Raw genomic sequence first — 19,988 nt, forward strand, 5'->3', positions numbered from 1 at the left:
CCAAAGACAAAAGTGGCAAGGAGGAGAAAAATGGGGGCTACAGTCTGAAGGTTAGTGTTCCCCACAAAATTCATGTTTAAACTCGTGGTGGTAGGGTTGGTCATGGTGGCTCATGCCTCTAATCCCAGCACTTCAGGAGGCCGAGGTGGGTGGATCACTTGAGCCCAGGAGTTTGAGACCAATCTGGGCAACATAGCGAAAACTCCATCTCAACTAAAAATACAAAAATTAGCCAGCATGATGGTGCACACCTGTAATCCCAGTTACTTGGGAGGCTGAGGTATGAGAATCCCAGAGGTGGAGGTTGCAGTGAGCCGAGATTCCGAGATCATGCCATTGCACTCCAGCCTGGGCAACAGAACAAGACTGTCTCAAAAAATAATAATAAAACAACCTGTGGTGGTATTAAGAGGTAGGGCTTTTTGATTAGGTCCTGAGGATGGGGCCCTCATGAATGGGGCTACTGCTCTTATAGAAAGGGCTCAAGGAAGTTCCCTGGCCTTTTCCACCATGTGAGGGCACAGCAACATGGTGCCATTTTTGAAGCTGAGAGCAGCCCTCACCAGACACTGGATCTGCTGGCACCTTATCTTGGACTTCCCAGGCTCCAGAGCCTCAATCAATGCATTTTTGTTATTTATAAATTACCCAGTCTACAGTGTTGTGTTAGAGCAGCCCAAAGAGACTAAGACAAGAGGAGACCAGAACGTAAGAGCGCTGGAGCAGTTCCAGGAGATCTAGGACTGCATCTCAGTTTTGTTGTTTAGTGGCCGTGTGGGCTCGGCCAAGCTCCTGAGCCTCTTGGAGTATCAGTTTTCTGATCTATAAATGAGGATATTGATACCTTCCTTGCTTACCTCACAGGTTTTGTCAACAAGAACTACTTATTATACAACTACATTGGGGCTTTTTGCATTTTGGCTGTGCTGACTTATGGAAGCAGGCATACACTGGGTGTGTGAGTGTAGACTGTCTACGCTCTTGAACCATGTGTCTGATTTATGGAAAAGTGTGTCAGAGTATGAGTCAGTTTTCTCTTGCTGCAACTGAATACCACAGACAGGGTAATTTATAAATAATGGAGGTTGATTTAGCTCATGGTTCTAGAGGCCGAGAAGTCCAGGATCGGCAGCTGCATCTCGTGAGGGCCTTCTTACTATGTTATCTCACAGTGGAAGAGTAGAAGGGCAAGCAAGTGTTTGTGAAAGAGAAAGCACAAGGGGCCAGGCTCAGTTTATAACAACCCATTCTTGCTATAACTAACCCATTTATTCATGTGGGTGGGGCTCCATGACCTAATCACTTCCTAAAGGCCTCACCTCCTGCCCTCTTAGAATGACAATTAAGTTTCACCTTGAGTTTTGGAGAGGACATTCAAATCACAGCAGGCTGATTATGAGGAAGCGAAGATAAAACAGCCAGGGCCGTATAGGAGTGCCTGTCACATTCTTGTAAAGGAAGGTCATTAGCTGAACTGGGTTTTGAAATGTCAGAGAGTGAAGGAGTAAGGGAGCATTACCTGCAGAGAAAGAAGAAAACAAGAGGGCTGGGCTCTCTGTGTAACAGCAGCATTGCTGCAATGCTGGGAGGAAGGCAGGAGAAAGGGTCTTACTCAAGGAAGACAAAAGAGAAGGTATTTCGCTCTTCTGTTTTCACTGTACTTTTGATTTCTCACCACAAACCACACAATATTTTTTAAGGGTCCCCCTTTTATTGAAAAATCTTGCGCCATTTGTGGAGAGGAGAATGTGGCCTTCTAAGTTACACCGAGGGAAACGTTGATCACTCCTCTGCATGTCGGGCAGGGTCTGGCCTGCAAGCAGCTGAATTCCCCTGGGTGGTTTTGAGTGGCACTTTTGTGTGCTTGTTCAGCCGTCCCCACAGTCCCTTGAAGAAGGTGCAACCATCTTCATTTTTTTTCAGGTAAAAAAGTAGACATCATGTGTTGTTGTGCCCAAGACCACACAGCTAAAGAGCAGCAGAGATAAGACCCAAACCGAGGGCCTACAAGCTTCCAGTCCAGTGAACCGTAAACCAAAATGTGGAGTATGAGACGAGCGGAGATGCTGCAGTTTCCTAGACTTAAAGACTGTAGGCCTTCAGTTTGAGTCTTATCTCTGCTGCTCTTTAGCTGTGTGATGGAATGGGAGGTTCAGGCTCCTGTTCTAATTGCAGAGCTTGGTGGCATGAGAGGAGATGATCCAATGGCACATGGAGCTGTCACGAGGACGCTCTGCCACTGATCACGGTCATGCTGACAGAATTCCTGGATACACTTGTCCTCTAACCTGCGATTTCAGTGACAAAGAAGACTTAAAAATGGAGATGGCCTGTGAGCTCATGGACTAGAGTGTGGTGTGGCCACATCGTACACTTATTGTCGGCCTGGTTGTAGTGTCCAGGTTCCAGCTACAGAGATTTCTTCTTAGTTTCTGAAGATACTAAGCATTTCCTGATTTTCAAAGAAGCACTTTTCCACTGCACATCCATTAGGATGGCTACTATAAAAACAGACAAACAAGCTGGAGAAGAACAAGTGTTGGTGAGGATATGAAGAAACTGGAACCCTTGTGTGCTGCTGGTGGGAATGCAAAAAGTGCAGCTGCTGTGAAAACAATATGGCAGTTCCTCACAACATCAAACACTGAATTGTCATATGATTCAGAAATTCCACTCCTGGGTATATCTGCAAAAGAACTCAACTAGGTCTCCAAGAGATGTTTGTACACCTGTGTTCACAACAGCACTATTTACAACAACCAAAAGGTGAATGTAACCCATGGATGCGTGGATAAGCAAAATGTGGTGTATGCAAGCAGTGGAATATCATTCATCCTTCAACAAAAAGGAAATTCTGACACAAGCCGTCACATGGGTGAGCCTTGAGGATATCATGCTAAGTAGAATAATCTAGCCATAAAAGGAAAATCCTATAGGTTTCCAGTCATAGGAGGAACATAGAGTGGTCAAATCCATAGCGAGAGAAAGTAGAGTGGTTGTTGACTGGGGCCGGGGAAACGGAAGTGGGGGGTTGCTATATAATGGGGCAGAGTTTCAGTTTTACCAGCCGAGGAGAGTTCTGGCGGTCGCCGGTGGTGGTGGTTGCACAGCAGTGTGATGTACTTAAAGGCACTGAATTGCACTTACAAATGATGAGAATGATACATTTTATGTATCTTTTACCACACACGCTAAAGAGGCATTATGAGGATGGCTATTATTTGAGGACCTCACAAGTACTTAGTGGAATGTTCTGGAAGCCCCTGGGAGTCACGAAATGCATTTCACAGTCCCCAGCCATGCTCACAGGCAAATGCAGAGTCCTTTTATTGTCCTGACCTTTAAATAAACCGAAAGTGTTGATTTTATTACTGGCAGAAATGATTATGAGAAGACAGAGGACGAGCTTTCTCTAGCTGTCACCCAGTAGATTTTAGAAAGAGAAACAACTAACGGAGTTTCCCAGCTGATAGCATTGCCTCCGTATGGACAAGAAATTCATCACTCCCGTGGAAACTGAAGCTCCTGGCTGTCTTTCCTGGATCTGCCAGAATTCTGACGGTGCCGATTTGCATGACTCTCAGACATGATGGTGCCCCTGCCTCATCACAGCAAGTGAGTCACGGGAGAAAAGAAACTGGAACTTGCTATTGGCAGCAAAACAGTCGTGGTCCTGAGACTCGCCATTCACCGTCTGTCCACACTTCCCTTTTGAGTCATTTCCTTATTCAGAGACAATAACGTGGAGAAGAATAAGACCCTTGTTATCTCATCTCTTTGAAGAAGAAACCCCATCTATGTGCAGTGCTGTGGATGCTCCTTTGATGAGATGGGGCTGGACACGTGAGAAACATCCCCGGAGGTGGGGGCCACTCGCGTGATCCTCAGCCTCCCAAGGGACAAGAAAAGTCCCATTTCATAGATGTGAGAAGCGAAATGAGGCACACAGAATAGCCATAGGAGATCCCAAAAGGATCTGCTACACAAGAAGAATGATAATCAACCTTTGATTTAACAGAACTTTTCAACTTCCAGTTCATAAGACACCCTTCCCATGCCAGGTTCTGTGTTGAGAATACAGAGGGAAAAACTATGTCCCCAAAGCCCCCACAATCTGGTTGGGGAAGTAAGCAATGAAAATAGAATTGTGTGATCACTTAAAAACAGCAAATTAGTATTTACTGATGCTTATGACATACTGTGCTAAATGTTTTGTGTTATTTTACTTAATCCCCACCATAATCCCACGAGGTACATTTTACTATCCCCATTTTACAGAAGTCCCCTTCTGTCCCAGGTCACAGAGCTAAGAAGTGATGGGGCAGGATGTTGTTGCCCAGGCCCTGAGCCACTCACCCGGCGAGTCTTAGACCTGACTGCCCATTGATAGAATTAATGAGGGGACTTCAGACCTACCAGTGCCCAGGCTCCTCCCCAGGCCAACTGAACCAGAACGCCCGGGGCTGGCCGAGGTATCAGGGCTTCCTAAAAGCTCTGGACCCCCCAGGCCTGCAGCGCTGCATCAGGCACACCTGTGAGCAGAGTGGAGGGCTGCCAGCTCCACCCAGGAGATGTCAGAAAGAACTCGAGAGACAGCGGTGTGGAGCTGACACCACCCCAGATATAGGCGCATTTTGCCAGGCTAAAAATGCACACAGGGAAGGCAGAGTGTACAGAAAGTTGTGGTATCCTGGAGAAAAGACAGTGCATTCCCAGGGAAAAAGCCATAGATCAAGGGGTTTGGGAGAGTCTGTAGCCCCATGACATTCCCGCGCACAGTGCTGGACTGCAGAGCTTTTCCTGTGAGTGGAGGGGTGGGCTGTATCCCTCCAGTGGGAGCCTATTCCTACAGGGCATCTGTCCCCACCTGTGGGGGTCTATTCCTACAGGGCATCTGTCCCCACCTGTGGGGGTCTATTCCTACAGGGCATCTGTCAGGGGGCCATGCCACTTCACTGTGTGGATTCCACCTGTGCAGAGAGTTATGGATCTCAACATCCAACAGCAGAAAAACAGTTAAGAAACACCCATAGTGTCGACTATTGTGTAACCATGCAAAGAATGCTTATGGGGCATTTATTATGATATGAAAAATGATTCTGTCAAATGTTAGGTTTTTCAAAGCAGCACTTAAAATTATATATGCATTAAGATCAGGGGAAGAAAAATGAAGATATTTCCTTTCTGTTTCAAGGGAAGAAAACAGGCACAGTGTAGAACGAGTCCACATTAAAGAATTTTATTCAGACATTTCACAACTATCTGGTCACTGTTCCCTTCTTAGCCCTTTGAAATTCTATTCACTTAGGAGGAAATAAAACCTCAGACAGTAGCAAAGTAATGCTGGTAGAATTCCAAATTATACTCCTTTCGTTGGGCAGATTTTTACACCCTTCCTTAGCAGAACAGGTGGAACTCACTCCCACATTTCAAATTTGGTTCTGATAAGGAACCTCCCTGGCAGGCTGTCAGCTCTGCAGATGGGAGACTTGCCATTTTCTGTTGCCTAGAGCCATCATTTTTGACCTCGAATTTGACAGAAAGCTTGGGACCACCCCTGTGGGATAATTGAAGGCATCAAAACACCACAGAACTGATATTTAGTACAAAAGTGTTTTATCGTGTTAGGAGATAAAGAATAGTTTCTGCACACGAATAACATGAGTGCAGCTCCAGGGAGGCTGAGGGGCAGCTCACCAGGCCCATGTCGTGACAAGGCAGGCCTCCCGCCTCCTCTGGGCATGGTGGTGACTGCTTTTTGGCCCTAAGCAAACTTTTAGGTTTGAGCAGAGAATGAGAGATAAGGCAACAAGGAAAGTGACTTTGAAAATCTTTTATCATCATCGTGAGACTCAGTTTTGGAATACAATTTACAAGGAATGAGATGAAAAGATGGCAGCTGTTGTAACGGCATCCAGAGGCTGGGGCTGGACGCCTGCCCACCTTCACACTGTGGCCCATGGAGCCCTGGCATGTCCCGAGCACCATTGTCCACCAGCTGTGCCAGCGGGGTTGGAAATGACCATTTCAAACACCACGTGATAGCTTACATTGTGCACTTCTCGCAGGAGGCATAAAGTTCTGTGACCTTTTTTTCACATCGGGGGAAGCAAAGTACATTTCAAAAGCCTTTTAGACATTCAAACTTAAAAAACAGCTCTAGAGGCAAATTCCAGAAACGTATCAGGAAAGCATTTCTTACAGTAAACTAGGGAACTCACTACATTTTCCTTAACATAATGTATAATCTAGAAAAATGAAGCAAAATTTTATGAAAACAAAAATGTTATGTTCCAAATAAAGGCTAGCATGTACGACAGTACCTTATATACAGCAGAGTCTCTTTTTAGAACCAGGGCACTTTCTGATGTCGGTCATCCCCAGTCTGCACAGCAGGTGGGAAGAAAACATAGTTTTTTTTTTGTATTTAAAACTGAAGCATAATAAATGAAAATGACTTGCTGAGACCAAGTAAGAGTTGGAAAGATGCCATCACCCGGCTTTCTTCTCTTCCTTCACTGATTTAGCAAATTACATTTCTTCAAGTGTGGAGATGGAGTAGCTGCCCGACTTTTCAGTTCAGCAACTGAATCTGCATCATAGTTGGGTAGGAGGAGGTTCTAGCTTGTTCATTTTGATTTGCCACTCTACAAGGTAAAATCACAGAGGACCACCCTGGTCAACAAAGTATAAGACCACACCTGCAGCAACTGTGCCCATGTTTATGCTCTGATCCTTGTATTGCAGTCTTAAGACTTCTTCTTCTTCCAGAATCCCAAAGTAGGAGTAATTATTATTTAGGTCGCAGGTAGTTCCATAAACACGGGCGTTGAGGACGCTGGCTGTTGTCAGGAATAGGAGTCTCTGGGGTTGAAATCTGGGGGCTCTGCTGCCTGCCCTTTGCCTCGGAGGGTGTGGAAGACCCTCCGATAGGAGCTCCTGAAGGTGGGGCTGGAGAAGCAGTATACCACGGGGTTGAGCACACTGTGCAGGTAGGTGAGGCTGCCCGTGACATCCGAGGTATGAGCCACTGCACAAAGGGCCCTGCAGCTCCCCAGATTCTGGAAGATGTGCATCAGGACTCTGGCCAGGAAGCAGGGCAGAAAGCACAGAGCAAACAGCACCACCACCAAGGTGACCAGTGCCTGGGCCCGCTGAAGCTTGGGCTGTTTCTCAGGCTCCCGGAGTCTTTTCTGGAGAGCCCTGATGATGCCTGCATTGCAGAACACGATGAGGCCAAAGGGGAGGACAAACTGAAGGCAGGAGAGTGCTTCCTGCCAGATGATGCTGAAGGAGCCGTCTGCCCTGGAGTAGAAACTGTGGCACCTGGTGGAGTTCTGGGCGGCCTCAGAGATGAGCAAGCCCGGGCAGGTGAGGGCGACCATCAGGAGCCAGACGAGGCCCGAGACCCCCAGGGCCGCCTGAGGAGACAGCAGGTTGACCTTAAGCCGAGGGTGGACCACACGGAGGTACCGGTCCAAAGCCACGGCGGCCAGGAAGGCCATCCCCACGCTGCGGCTGAGGTCCAGCAGGAAGTGCAGGGCCCAGCAGCCCACACGGCCCAGATGCCAAGCCTGGAGGCTCAGGTAGAAGGCGGCCAGGAAAGGCAGGCACGCAGCCAACAGCAGGTCAGCCAGGGCCAGGTTGAGCAGGTAGACAGCGTACGGCTTCCACACCCTGACCCGGAACAGGAAGGTCCACAGCGCCACCGCGTTGCCCAGCAGACCCAGCCCACACTCCAGCCCCAGCAAGACACCCACAGCTGTGGCCACCACAGTGCTGGGGGCTGAGCAGTTTGGGAATGGCATCACCCGGCCGTGAGGGGCTGCAGGCACAGCTGGAGCAGGTACAGGAGGAACTCTGTGCTCTTTCTTACAAAATGAAAGAAAAGGCCTTTTCCTGCCACAGAGTAGACAAGATCTACATTTGCCCAACAAGAACAGTTCCTCAGCAGAATAGAGTCCACAGCAAACCAAAATTCATTTGGGGAAAGAGGATGAGCAGGGGAGGGAAAAGCCCCTTTGCAGTTGTGTTCTGTTTTCTTCCGCCATAAAAAAGGGGAAATGGTGTTTCGCTTCACATCACCGGGCTGCAAAGCTGAGGAGTAATGTCCTATAACGTCTGGGGGTCCAGGGCTTTGCATCCACAGTCCTGAAAGAAGGAAAAGTCTAATTATGCAAAGACTCCTATGTCTGTATACAATTAAAATAACAATGGAATCAAAAAGATTGTTCTCTACTTTGAATATGTTTCATGGGGAAATTTTCTTCTTCCTTTTCATACATAAAGGACGCTTGCTGGGATCCTTCTGCATGGGGCTTGATTTTACACACTGGTCAGATGTGGTCCCCACACTTAAACTTGAAAGGGGATTTGAGACAACCTGCTCATTCCATAGCTGATGGTTTCACTTGTACTTGTGTTTTGTTAAATACAAATTTATTTTATTTTCTCTGCTGGAGTCTTTCCTACCTAGTACACCACTTGGATTGGGATCTGGACCAGCAGGGCCTGGAGTGGGCCCTGGAAGCATGGAAAAATCAATGGCTTGTAAAAATGCGTAGAATCCACTAGAAAGTTAGGTTCATCAGCCAGGGACATACTCCATATATCCATGTGTCGCTAGTGACAGACAATGCCTGGCACACAGCATTATCAACAAGCATTTCTTTGATGAATAAACGTGTGCAGTCATCATTACCCTCTGATGACCCTAATACATCTCAGTCCTTACCCATCAATGACCCTATTATACTTGGTTCTCACCCAATGTTGACCCTAATTTACCTTGGTCCTTACCCACTATTGACCCTAATTCATCCTGGTCTTCACTCAACGTTGACCCTACTTCATCTTGATCTTTTCCCACTTTTGACCTTACTGCATCTTGGTTCTTACCCACTGATGATCCTAATTTATCTCAGTCCTAACCATTCTTGATCCTACTTCATCTTGATCCTTACCAACTGGTGACCCTACTTCATCATAGGTCTTACCCATATTGACTCTAATTTAAGTTGGTCCTCTCCCACTGTTGACTCTAATTTATCTTGGGTCCATTCAGCCTGGTTTGAATTTTGGAGTTAAGTAAACTTTAGTTATAATTTTTTGTTTCTCCATTTATTAGCAGTGTGGTTTTGGGAAAGCAAATTAACTTCTCTGAACTCCAGGCTCTTCACTTGAGAGGTGAAGATGGTAACACCTTCTTGAAGAGTTCTTTTGAGTAGTCAAGGTACTATTACAGGTAAAGCACTTAGCGCCATGTCTGGGTGTTGTGAGAGCTTGATGCTTTTACTAGAGTATTTATTAAGCCTCTCTGATGCATAGGCTTTAAAAAACTATTCGTTATCTCTTAACGCGATAAAACACTTTTGTACTAAATATCCGTTCTATGGTGTTTTGATGCCTTCAATTATAGTATCCAAGTTTAAGGCTTTAATAATTATTATTACTAAAGTATACTGCATGTTCATTGCGTGTCAGTCATTGTTAGTGCTGGCCTAAGTTATTTCAATGAACCGTACAATAGTGAGATGAAGTAGGTACAATGTTAAGCTCTATTTTATGAGTAAAGAAATGGAGGCATGGTAAGATTAGGTAATTTGCTCAAGGTCACAGGCAGGTAAGTGGTGGGACCAGGACCCTCCCAGCCCAAATTTCAACCAGAACTGGATTCACAGCTTCCCTATAGTCCTATGGCTAATGGTCAGGCTTCACTCTTTTTCAAGTCCCATAGGGCTGTGATTTGTATGATATCAAGGTAATTTGACTTGCATTCTTCTTGCTTTCATTATTCCATTATTTTTAAAAATGGGACTACCAGCCCACATATCATCCCATTTCTATGTCATACAAGTCCGCATGCCTTTTTGTTTTCTAAGGAGGTGAATTTGGAGAGTCCTCCAAGCATCTGGAATTGTGGAAATGTCCCAACTAGTCTCTGCACAGTGACACCTTCTATGAATGAGGATCTCTGGTTGCATGTTCATTACGACATTGTTCCTGGGGAACAAGAGGATAGAGCACAACGCTGACCTGTGGGTGGTGTAGTTAGTCTCATTTGGACGAATGTTGTCAGGCACACAATGACCCTCAGAAAAGCTGGCAGCAAATTCAACTCTTTAGTGATTAAAGTTTCATAAATGCAGGAAAGAAATGGATTGAAATATCTTTCTTGCAACACACTAAAAACTTTAACAGACCTTAAAAGCTACTCCTTAATTTCAGATTTCAGTTTATACCACCAATAACTTCCTAAATTATAAATATTTTAGCTCAACTGGCATGTGAACATTAATAATTACGTATTTTCCTTTTTAAAAACTTCTGCCCCTTTTTAAAGTACTTTGATTCATCTTTTTCACTTCTGAAAGACATTGAATTGTTTTTCAGACCATCTCTTTTAAAGTTATAGTATTTGAGCTTCTCCCTTAGGGATCTTGATTTATTAAACCTTATCACCCCTAGAGACTATTTTCAGTCATTACTACTATTTCTTCAATACTCTACTTGTTTAGGAAACTTCTCTGTGTTCATTTCAATTTTTATGCTGTGTATTTTATTTACACGTGTGCCTAACTTTAAATGAAAACTGAATTATTGCTTAAACCCACACATACATTTAAACATACATTTAAAGGTTTTTTGTTTGTTTGTTTTTTTAGAGACAAGGTCTTGTTCTGTTGCCCAGACTGGAGTGCAGTGGCAGTATCATAGCTCACTGTAATCTCCAACTCCTAGGCTCAAGGGATCCTTCTGAGTACTTAAGACTACAGGTGTGTGCCACCAGACTCAGATACAGAAATTTAATTCTCTGCATTTTTCCTTTCTAATTTTTCTGTTATATCTTACAATAATCAGAAAGATGGTTATTCATAAAGACTGAATGAATACTCAGACTTAGATTCTCCTGCTACTTATTGCAAAGTTAGCCCGCCGTGAAGTCTAGGGAGACAGTACAATTCCCACAAGACCACCTTCTGCCTGACATTAACTTAAAGTTTGGAGGTCCCCAAGACCACTCTCAGGTTAGATAATTCTCTAGAAGGACTTACAGAACTCACAGGAAGCTGTTACTTTCATAGCTATATCATTTTTTACAGTGAAAAGACACAGGTTAAAATCAGCCAAGGGAAGAGGTGCATGGGACAGAGACCAGGAAAATTGTAAGCGTGGGGCTCCCATTGTCCTTTTGCTGTGAGTCAGGACAGTGTTACTTTCTCAGTATCGATGGATGACAGTGCCCAGACCACTGCCACACCGGGAAGCTCACCTGGGTCTCCTCATCCAGAGTCTTTATTGGAGTACCTCACCCAGGCATAGCTGGCCATCTGTGAGGCTGTGTTTAGTCTCTAGCTGCTCTGGGGGCTGAGCTACAGCTGCAGGACCAAAGCCCTCACCCTAAACCACATTATTACTGTCTGTCTGGCTGAGGGTCCCCAGGCAAACAAAGACATCCCCATTGGGCATGATATCCTAAAGCCTGGGAGGTGACCTCCTGGCTACTGAGGGCCAAGATCGGACCTCTTTAACTTTGCCTTTTGGGAAAAGTTTAGCTCTTTTCTTATTTATTCAACAAATTTAGAACACAATGAGTGTTACTCATTTTATACTGAGGATACAAATGCTTATAGTGTTACTAGAAAGTGGTCCTGATCCGGACCCCAAGAAAGGGTTCTTGGACCTTGTGCAGGAAAGTATTCATGATGAATTCATAGAGTAAAGTGAAAGCAAGTTTATTAAGAAAGTAAAGAATGGCTACTCCATAGGCAGAGCAGGCCCAAGGCCTGCTAGTTGGCTATTTTTATGATTATTTCTTGATTGTATGCTAAACAAGGGGTGGATTATTCATGATTTTCCTGAAAAAGGGGTGGATAATTCCTGAAACTGAGGGTTCCTCCCCTTTTTAGACCATATGGGGTAACTTCCTGATGTTGCCATGGCATTTGTAAACTCACAGTGCTGGTGGGAGTGTCTTTTTAGCATGCTAATGCATTATAATGAGCGCATAATGAATAGTGAGGATGAGCAGAGCTCACTTTTGTTACCATCTTGGTTTGGTAGGTTTCGGCCAGCTTCTTTACCACATCCGTTTATCAGCAAGGTCTTTGCGGCCTGTACCTTGTGCTGACGTCCTATCCCATCCTGTGACTAAGAATGCCTAACCATCTGGGAATGCAGTCCAGTAGGTCTCAGCCTTATTTTCCCCAGCCCCTATTCAAGATGGAGTTGCTCTGGTTCAAATGCCTCTGACAATAGCACACTCTGACTTTAAGGGGCTTATGTTCTAGTGGGGAAGATGAATGTGGGAACAGACTTGTAGAGAACAATATGATACAATTAGCTAGAAGGTGCATCTGCAGTGGGGGTGGGTGTCATGAGAGAGGTGTCATGGAGAGAGGAGAGTGAAGAGAAGTCAGCTAAGGGGCTGAGGGATGGGGGAAGCTCTGGGCAGGGAAGGTCCAGTTGGGCAGAGGGGACTGCCCACTGTGTGTGACCAGTGTTAGATTTTGAAGGAAAGGGGAGGGTTAAAGAAAGACACATACATAGAAAGAGGGTGGCTTGACAGCAAACGCAGGCTTTACGTCCAGCATAAAACCAAAAGAAGTGGGGGACCAGCCCAATGCCAGTGCCCACTGCGGGCTTACAGGCTGGGGCAATGTAAATGTATGGGCAGGAGGGGTATGGGCACTATGGCGTGCGCCCGGCAGGATATTGAGCAGATGTTCCCATGATGAGGCACTTCTGACCCTTGTTCGGGTGGAATGTGGTGCTCCTTGCACTTTCTCCCAGAAGAACATGATAAGAGGCGTGCTGTTTCCTCAGTCGGCCTTTGTCCACCTTGTGGTCAGGTGGTTACGCAGGATGCTTCTCACGGCCCAAATCCCTGTGAAATGTTTCACTTTGACGAAGGTCTGCAAAATAGCAGGGAGCTTACCAAATGGTGCAGTTTGGACTGACACCCAGTTGTGAGATATTTATAGCGAGCTGGAAGGGCTCCCCATTTTTTTCAACCACAGTCAGTAACTTTCTTGTCGACTCTCACAAGTTCATTGCATTTCATTTTCTTGTCTTGCTCTCATATCCAAACCATCGTCCATCTCTGTAATGTCACAGTTTCCTCTTACTTCAGGGACACCTGATTTTCCTAAACCTGGCTCCCCTCCCAGGTCCAGATCGTGCTAACACCTCATTTCTCTTGTCTTATTTTCACCTCCAGCCACAGGGAAATTGAGCTTCAGGAGAAAGGAGCTATGGTCATTTCCAAAAAAAAAAAAAAAAAAAAGGAATCATTGTAGAAAGAGAAGCTGGGAGTGGTCAGAGGCAATGTACAATCTCGGAAGTTAGAAGTTGCGAGGCCTGTGATGGTCCTGAGCACATGTTTGAGTTTCTGAAACTACCTTGGCAAAAATTAAATCAGTGAGAAAATTGTGACTGGGGGAGATCTTGATCTAGCCAGCCCCCTTCTGGCCTTTAGCTTTCACGCTGCCTTAATTATTCCTGGGCTCAGGCTGGGCTAGCTTTGGGAGATAAATAGTTTGTAATTGAAATGATAATAGCCCTTCCCCAAAGCTCAACGACCTTTGTAAAGCTAATGAGAGACCACCAGGCTAGGGGAGGGGAGGAGTCTGAATTCTGCTAAGGTGTAGACGTGAGTGATTCTGGAGGTCACAAGGTGTGCAACTTCCCCAGTTACTCCTCAGGTAACATCACTGTTGTAGAACCTAAGATTGTCCTTTTGAGATATTGTTTTAAGTTTTTCTGCATGTGTGACACAGATGCCTCCGCCTGGCTCCACCTGGATCGGAGCCTCAACCCGGCAACAGCTCCTGTGACCCCACCCAGAAGTGACTGAGTACACAGGAGGACCCTTTCCCACATGCCTATGACTGCACCCCCCAGGCAGCAGCAAGTCCCCGTGGCCTAGCTACCCCACCCCTTCCCAGCAAACTACCTTTGAAAAACCCGTCACCTCTGAGCTTTCCGTGAGACTGATTTGAGGAATAACTCTGTCTCTCGCATGGCGTCGGGGGCCTTGTGTCAATTAAACTCTTTTTTTACTGCAATGCCATGGTCTTCATGCAGTGAGCAGGAGGAACCCATAAGGCAGTTACATGTATAGTTTGGAATAAAATAATTTTAGCAGCCTCTTAATATTTCTACAATGTGAAGACCATCAAAGAAATGAGTTACTAATGAAATCAGCATTTCATGTATAAGAAGTCATTTTGAACATAATTATATTGTTATAGAAAAAATTTTAGTCCTACAAAATAAAATTTTAATGAAAGTTGAATAATTGTATTGGGACCCAACACTGTTGAAACATGAAATGTGCAAATGCGCTTGTTAGTAAAAACAGCTTTTTTTTTTTCAGTTTTATTTCAACAGGGTTAACATAAACATAGTGTTTTAAGCTTAAAATGATGGAAAACCCCTACGTAGATCTTCCAACGTGGACATTCCAACAGGAAGCTATAAAGAGAAGTAAAAGTGACAGCACATTATCAGTGAAAAATAAGACTAGGTTTAAAAAGGTGAGTTTTTGTTATGTTTATTGCCACTGGAGAATTTGATTTAAGACATCAGAAAATTGCATTATATTTTTGGTGTAACATGGATACTTTAAACAATATTTTGTTCATTCATTTGCTTGTTCATTCAACTAAACGTATTGAATAGCTCCTCCATGCAAGCACCTCTCTGGCCCTGGGGGTGCAGCGGGGTATGAAGCAGAGACCCTCTGTCCATGGAGCCACATTCTGCCGGGACCCACAGTCCGTGAGCGTGGAGGCAGGAGCACTGGGAACAGCTAGCTGGCTGGGGCCTTCTCAATAGGGAATGTCTTAGGCAGTATTTGAAGGATACCTATGGGTATAGAGAACATACTGGGAAAAGGAAAGACAGTATTTTTCTTAGAACTTGAAGAAATTTCTGTAATTGTTTTTTGGAAGAAGAAGTAAAAGTATGGAACACCATCATTTAAAATGAGATACTAAAGTGTACTCTTCAGTTATAAAAATTAAAACACTCTCATCATGATGCAGAAATAGGAAGATCTATGGAAGAGAAGAAAAAAGCAAATAAAGTTGAGGATGTGGAATATGATAAAGGTGCCTCCAAGTACTTTGTACTTCTGTTTTAAAGAATGTATTCTGCACATTGTTTTCTGTTCCACAATACAGAATTACAGACGCTCTTCCAGGTGGCAGACCCGAGTCAGCCAGGAACTGTCAACCTGGAGATGAAGTGCCTCGCTGGGTGGCCTGCGCATCATGTGTGATGAGGGAAGTGCTCCTGCTGTCACTCAGTCATGAATTCCTGTGCGTGGTGGGTTCCAGCAGTCAGCCAGAGGCTATCATCAAACTTGTTTTGCTTTGTATTAAATTAAACTCACTAGAAACAGTGCAAGGTCAGGAAAGGCAGTTATCAAGGCCTTCGACCTCTAAGACTTTACATTTGCTGTGAGTAGACCTTAGCATGCCAGGAGAAGTTTCTCATCAAAACCCAGCTTCCATCAGCAAAGACAGGAGGAAGCCAAGTCAGGACCAGAGCCCCCTCTCTCCTGTAGACGGAGGATACATTCAGGAACTCAGAACCTGGAGGAGAGGTGAGCAGGGGGTTAGCAATGATATGGTTTGGATTTGTGTTCCCGCCCAAATCTCATGTCGAATTGTAATCCCCAATGTTGGAGGAGGGTCCTGGTAGGAGATGATTGGATCACGGGGGCAGATTTCCCCTTTGGTGCTGTTCTCATGATAATTGTCCTAGTACAGTCTCTTCCTCTCTCTCACTATGCACTGACTTCTCAGGCACCTGGGACCACGTCTCACACTCGTCTTTAAGCCTTGCAATGGCTGCACAGTGCTAGGCACTGGAGGTTGTTGATTAGTTTACAGTTAATGAATTAGAAAATAATAAGGAACAGAATAGAAACATGTTGAATTAAGCTTTTACTTTCACTGATGACTCAAAAGTCCCATGATTTTGTAGTATTTCAAGACTACTATTATGAGCATTAGTTTTCATTTTTCTTGCAACTATTTAGTTCTGTCTAACAGAGCTCTGACTGGGTAAGTATCAGGTCACAGAATATTTACCACAGGTTCATATGATGCAGTAAACCTGTGTCTTTCATGGGGGCTTTTAGCTAAAGCAGCAATTATAGGTGTCTGTCAGAGGAACCCCTTAGCTAATTGTTAAGCTGTACCTGAAGTCTCCCATGAAGACAAGCAGTCAGATCCTGATGTCTCCCAAGATGACAAGCAGTCAGATCCTGAAATCCATGACTGGTGACTTGTGAAATTCTAGTGGATATTCTGCAATGACGTGCCATGAGCCTCTGTCATTTCACCTCACCATCATGCCACAAATTAGTACTCACAGCTGAGAGTTTAGACCTAGAAAGGGCAATAAAATTAAGTTCAAATACTGTATTAAGGGACTTGCCCCAGATTACATAATTCTTTTGTGTAAAGGCCAAATTATACAAATCCTCAGATTCTGAGGTCGGAGTTTCTTTTCCTATAACATGTTTCTTCAAACATAGCTGTATCCACATTTCATATCAAGCAGATCCAGGAAAAATGATGAATAATCAGATAGCATGATATGAACACAAGGTCATGAGCAATAAAGGGTTCCGATAGAGCTATTAGGAAGAGCATCATGCTCACGAGCAGTAGGAACATTGTTCTATGTATTTATTGGCCTTGTAACTATGGTTTAGAAGTGGTAGGAATCCACAGAGATATACCTACAGAAAGATTTGAAAGAAATAAAACTCCCAGCCTCAGTGTGGTATCATCCCACCCTCAGTATCACTATCTCAATCTTGACCTTCATACACATATCAAGAAACTTTCCACTTCTTGAAATACAAGAACTTTCAGATATTAAAAATGTTTTAAGATTCTCTCTCCTCTGTGGCCTCTTCAGCATTGGTATTGGAAGTCATGGGTTGATGTTATCTGGCTGAGGGGCTTATCTAGAAATGTCTCCTGATCCCAGGTCCCTTTAGGTCTAAGTTAGCTTCTTCCCCTGTCCGTACTCAGTCTCAGCTGGTCACTGACTATGTGATATCCTTTCTAATCACTTGTGTCCTACTGCAAAAACAAAATAACACAACATAGAGTAAATACATTATCGGAATGGCTAGCAATCATTGGACATTTTTCTCCATTCATTATCTTGAGGAGCATAATGTACTCCCCCAATTCATTTTAAACAAAAAAACTTTAGAATGTAATTAATGGAAGCACTCACTATTGTGGATTGAGTAGTTTTTATATGTTGCCTTACCACCTTGCTTAGAGGGGCAATGTCTTTCCTTATTCTCAATTTTTACAAAATATTGTACAGAGAAAATGCTTGAAAAGTGTGTAATCCCAGCACTTAAGAGGCTGAGGCAGGTGGATCGCTTGAATCCAGAAGTTTGAGACCAGCTAGTGCAACATAGCGAGACCTGTCTCTACAAAAAATTCAAAAATTAGCTGGGTGTGGTGGTGTGAACCTGTAGTTCTAGCTATTAGGGAGGCTGAGATGGGAGGATTGCTTGAGCCTAAGAGGTCAAGGTTGCAGTGAGCCGAGATAGCACCACTGCACTCCAGCCTGGGCAACAGAGCAAAACCCTGTCTCGCAAGAAAAAAAAAACGAGTGTGTCACTTATAACATTCAGACTCAGCTCATAAAATCCAAAAGAAACGTGGAGTTTGGGGAGTGCTAAAATGCACCACTGAGGGAACAACTAGAAAATGACTAGAAAATCCTTCTCTTTTTGTTCTATCATTGTACGCTACAGCTACTGGTGATAGTATTAAGGCATGTTTTACAATTCATATTTGGATTCCATCACAGGGCTCACACTCTCTTATCTCCACCTCTCACAAGTTTTACCATACGAGTTTTGTGGTAGTTTGAGGAACTCAACACAGCTGCAAGTGTTCCGCTGGAATCTACTATGATCTGTGTCACTTGAGGCACAGTGTGAGCGCACGTCATTCCTTGGATGACACGCACCCCTCTCCTAACTTAGTATTCCGACATTTAGTCATCCACGAATTCGCTCAGCTGCCTCCAGTGGGGTGGGTTCCAGTCTCAATGGCATCTCACTAGTTCCCCATCACATTGCTCATTTGCAGTGATGACATTTACAAAAGGTGATTTCTTTTGTCAGGGGTCTGTACCACTATCGAAGTAGTCCTTTGAACCAGAAATTTAAACAGCTAAGCTACTTTAAAAAGTGTATCTGCTGCTACTCCAAGCAGCCGACTCTGGAACTGGCTTCTGACTTTAAAAGATGAGTGAAAAGATGTGCTGTGCTTTCCTCTGCAGAATGTTCAAACCAGAAGGCCCCTGGAAGACTGTGCCTGAAACGCGGCTAAGGCACCACCAGGCTGAACAGAAAACGGGGGCCTTATCAGAGAGAAGGGAAGGGCCCCATAGTCCAAACGCCCAGGAGGCTCCGACCTGACCCGCGGCCACGAGTGTTTGCTGCAGGACGAGAATCTGGGGAAGATGCAGCCAAGAAAATGGCCTGGCCGGGCCGGGAAGAGCAGCCCACAGAGACCCGCAGCACAGAGAGGGATGCGGGGAGCCTGCCCTGGGAGCCACCCCGGCTGAGGCTCAGGAGGGGAGCTGCGAAGCCTGAAACCCATCGATGATGGCTGGTGATGAAAACATGTGGGTGGACCTGCTTTGATGGCGAGATGGACAGGTCTGAGCTCACACATCCTCGGGAAAACAAATAAAACTCTGTGGAAATGGACATGAGACACTGGGCCCTCATTCCCCAACTTGTAGAGATGACTGAGAAAAGCTTCCAGAAACTCGAGGACATCACAACTTCCAGCTGGGTCAAACTCAGGGTGCTGTGAGGCCTGGGCAGAGAGACCCCCAGGGTTTCCCAGGGATGGCGGAGTCTCTGGAGGAAGGAGACACCATGAAGATGGGGATGGAAGCTGCCTGCCCCATGGAGAGGGGAGGGGGCCGGCCACTCTCACCCCTCGAACAAAAACCGGGTGGAACCTGAGAGGAGCAAAGAAACAAACACAACCCTCACACACCTCAGGACACACACACAACACCTCACACACCTCAGGACACACACACAACCCTCACACACCTCAGGACACACACACAACTCTCACACACCTCAGGACACACACATAACCCTCACACACCTCAGGAAATACACACATAACCCTCACACACCTCAGGAAATACACACAACCCTCACACACCTCAGGAAACACACACAACCCTCACACACCTCAGGACACACACAACCCTCACATACCTCAAGAAACGCACAACCCTCACACGCCTCAGGACACACACACAACACCTCACACACTTCAGGACACACACACAACCCTCACACACCTCAGGACACACATAACCCCTCACACACCTCAGGACACACACACAACCCTCTCACACCTCAGGACACACAACCCTCACACACCTCAGGACACACACACAACCCTCACACACCTCAGGACACACACAACTTAACACCTCACACACCTCAGGACACACACAACTTAACACCTCACACACCTCAGGACACACACACACAACCCTCACACACCTCAGGACACACACAACTTTCACACACCTCAGGACACACACAACCTCTCACACACCTCAGGACACACACACAACATCTCACACACCTCAGGACACACACAACCCCTCATGCACCTCAGAATACACACAACCCTCACACACCTCAGGACACACACACAACCCCTCACATACCTCAGGACTCACAACACCTCACACACCTCAGGACACACACAACCCTCACACACCTCAGGACACACACACAACACCTCACACATCTCAGGACACATATACAGCCTCTCACACATCTCAGGACACACACACCACAGCCCCTCACACACCTCAGGACCCACAATCCATGGTTAGAATGACGCGCAGGGACAAAAGTGCTTCGTTTCCTCTTTGTGGTAGTTTCTTCGTTC

General features: G+C 45.3%; 1 protein-coding gene and 1 long non-coding RNA gene across 2 annotated transcripts, besides 2 other annotated features; both read right to left on the reverse strand.

Moving 5' to 3' along the window:
• Positions 1 to 5,223: 5,223 nt before the first annotated feature.
• GPR31 (G protein-coupled receptor 31) lies at positions 5,224 to 7,957 on the reverse strand. Its single transcript, NM_005299.3, has one exon. The coding sequence runs from the start codon at positions 7,806 to 7,808 to the stop codon at positions 6,849 to 6,851; it is 960 nt and encodes a 319-aa protein (NP_005290.2). The 5' UTR covers positions 7,809 to 7,957; the 3' UTR covers positions 5,224 to 6,848.
• Positions 13,154 to 14,142: an enhancer, noted in NCBI's record as "OCT4-NANOG-H3K27ac-H3K4me1 hESC enhancer chr6:167576665-167577653 (GRCh37/hg19 assembly coordinates)". NCBI's record gives its function as "activates a minimal SCP1, AML or CMV promoter by ChIP-STARR-seq in naive and primed H9 embryonic stem cells {active_cell/tissue: H9 hESC(naive and primed)}" and the evidence as "EXISTENCE:reporter gene assay evidence [ECO:0000049][PMID:30033119]".
• Positions 14,946 to 16,145: an enhancer, noted in NCBI's record as "CDK7 strongly-dependent group 2 enhancer chr6:167578457-167579656 (GRCh37/hg19 assembly coordinates)". NCBI's record gives its function as "activates an origin of replication core promoter dependent on BRD2, BRD4, P300/CBP, MED14 and CDK7 cofactors, with strong dependence on CDK7, by STARR-seq in HCT116 cells {active_cell/tissue: HCT116}" and the evidence as "EXISTENCE:reporter gene assay evidence [ECO:0000049][PMID:35650434]".
• LOC105378123 (uncharacterized) lies at positions 15,326 to 19,957 on the reverse strand. Its single transcript, NR_134592.1, has 3 exons — positions 19,908 to 19,957; positions 16,211 to 16,400; positions 15,326 to 15,599 (listed from the first exon to the last, which is right to left on the reverse strand). It is a non-coding gene; the product is annotated as an uncharacterized LOC105378123 (long non-coding RNA).
• Between the last annotated feature and the right edge of the window lie 31 nt (positions 19,958 to 19,988).

This window comes from Homo sapiens, chromosome 6, assembly GCF_000001405.40.
Source record: "Homo sapiens chromosome 6, GRCh38.p14 Primary Assembly".
NCBI classification, from domain to species: Eukaryota; Metazoa; Chordata; class Mammalia; order Primates; family Hominidae; genus Homo; species Homo sapiens.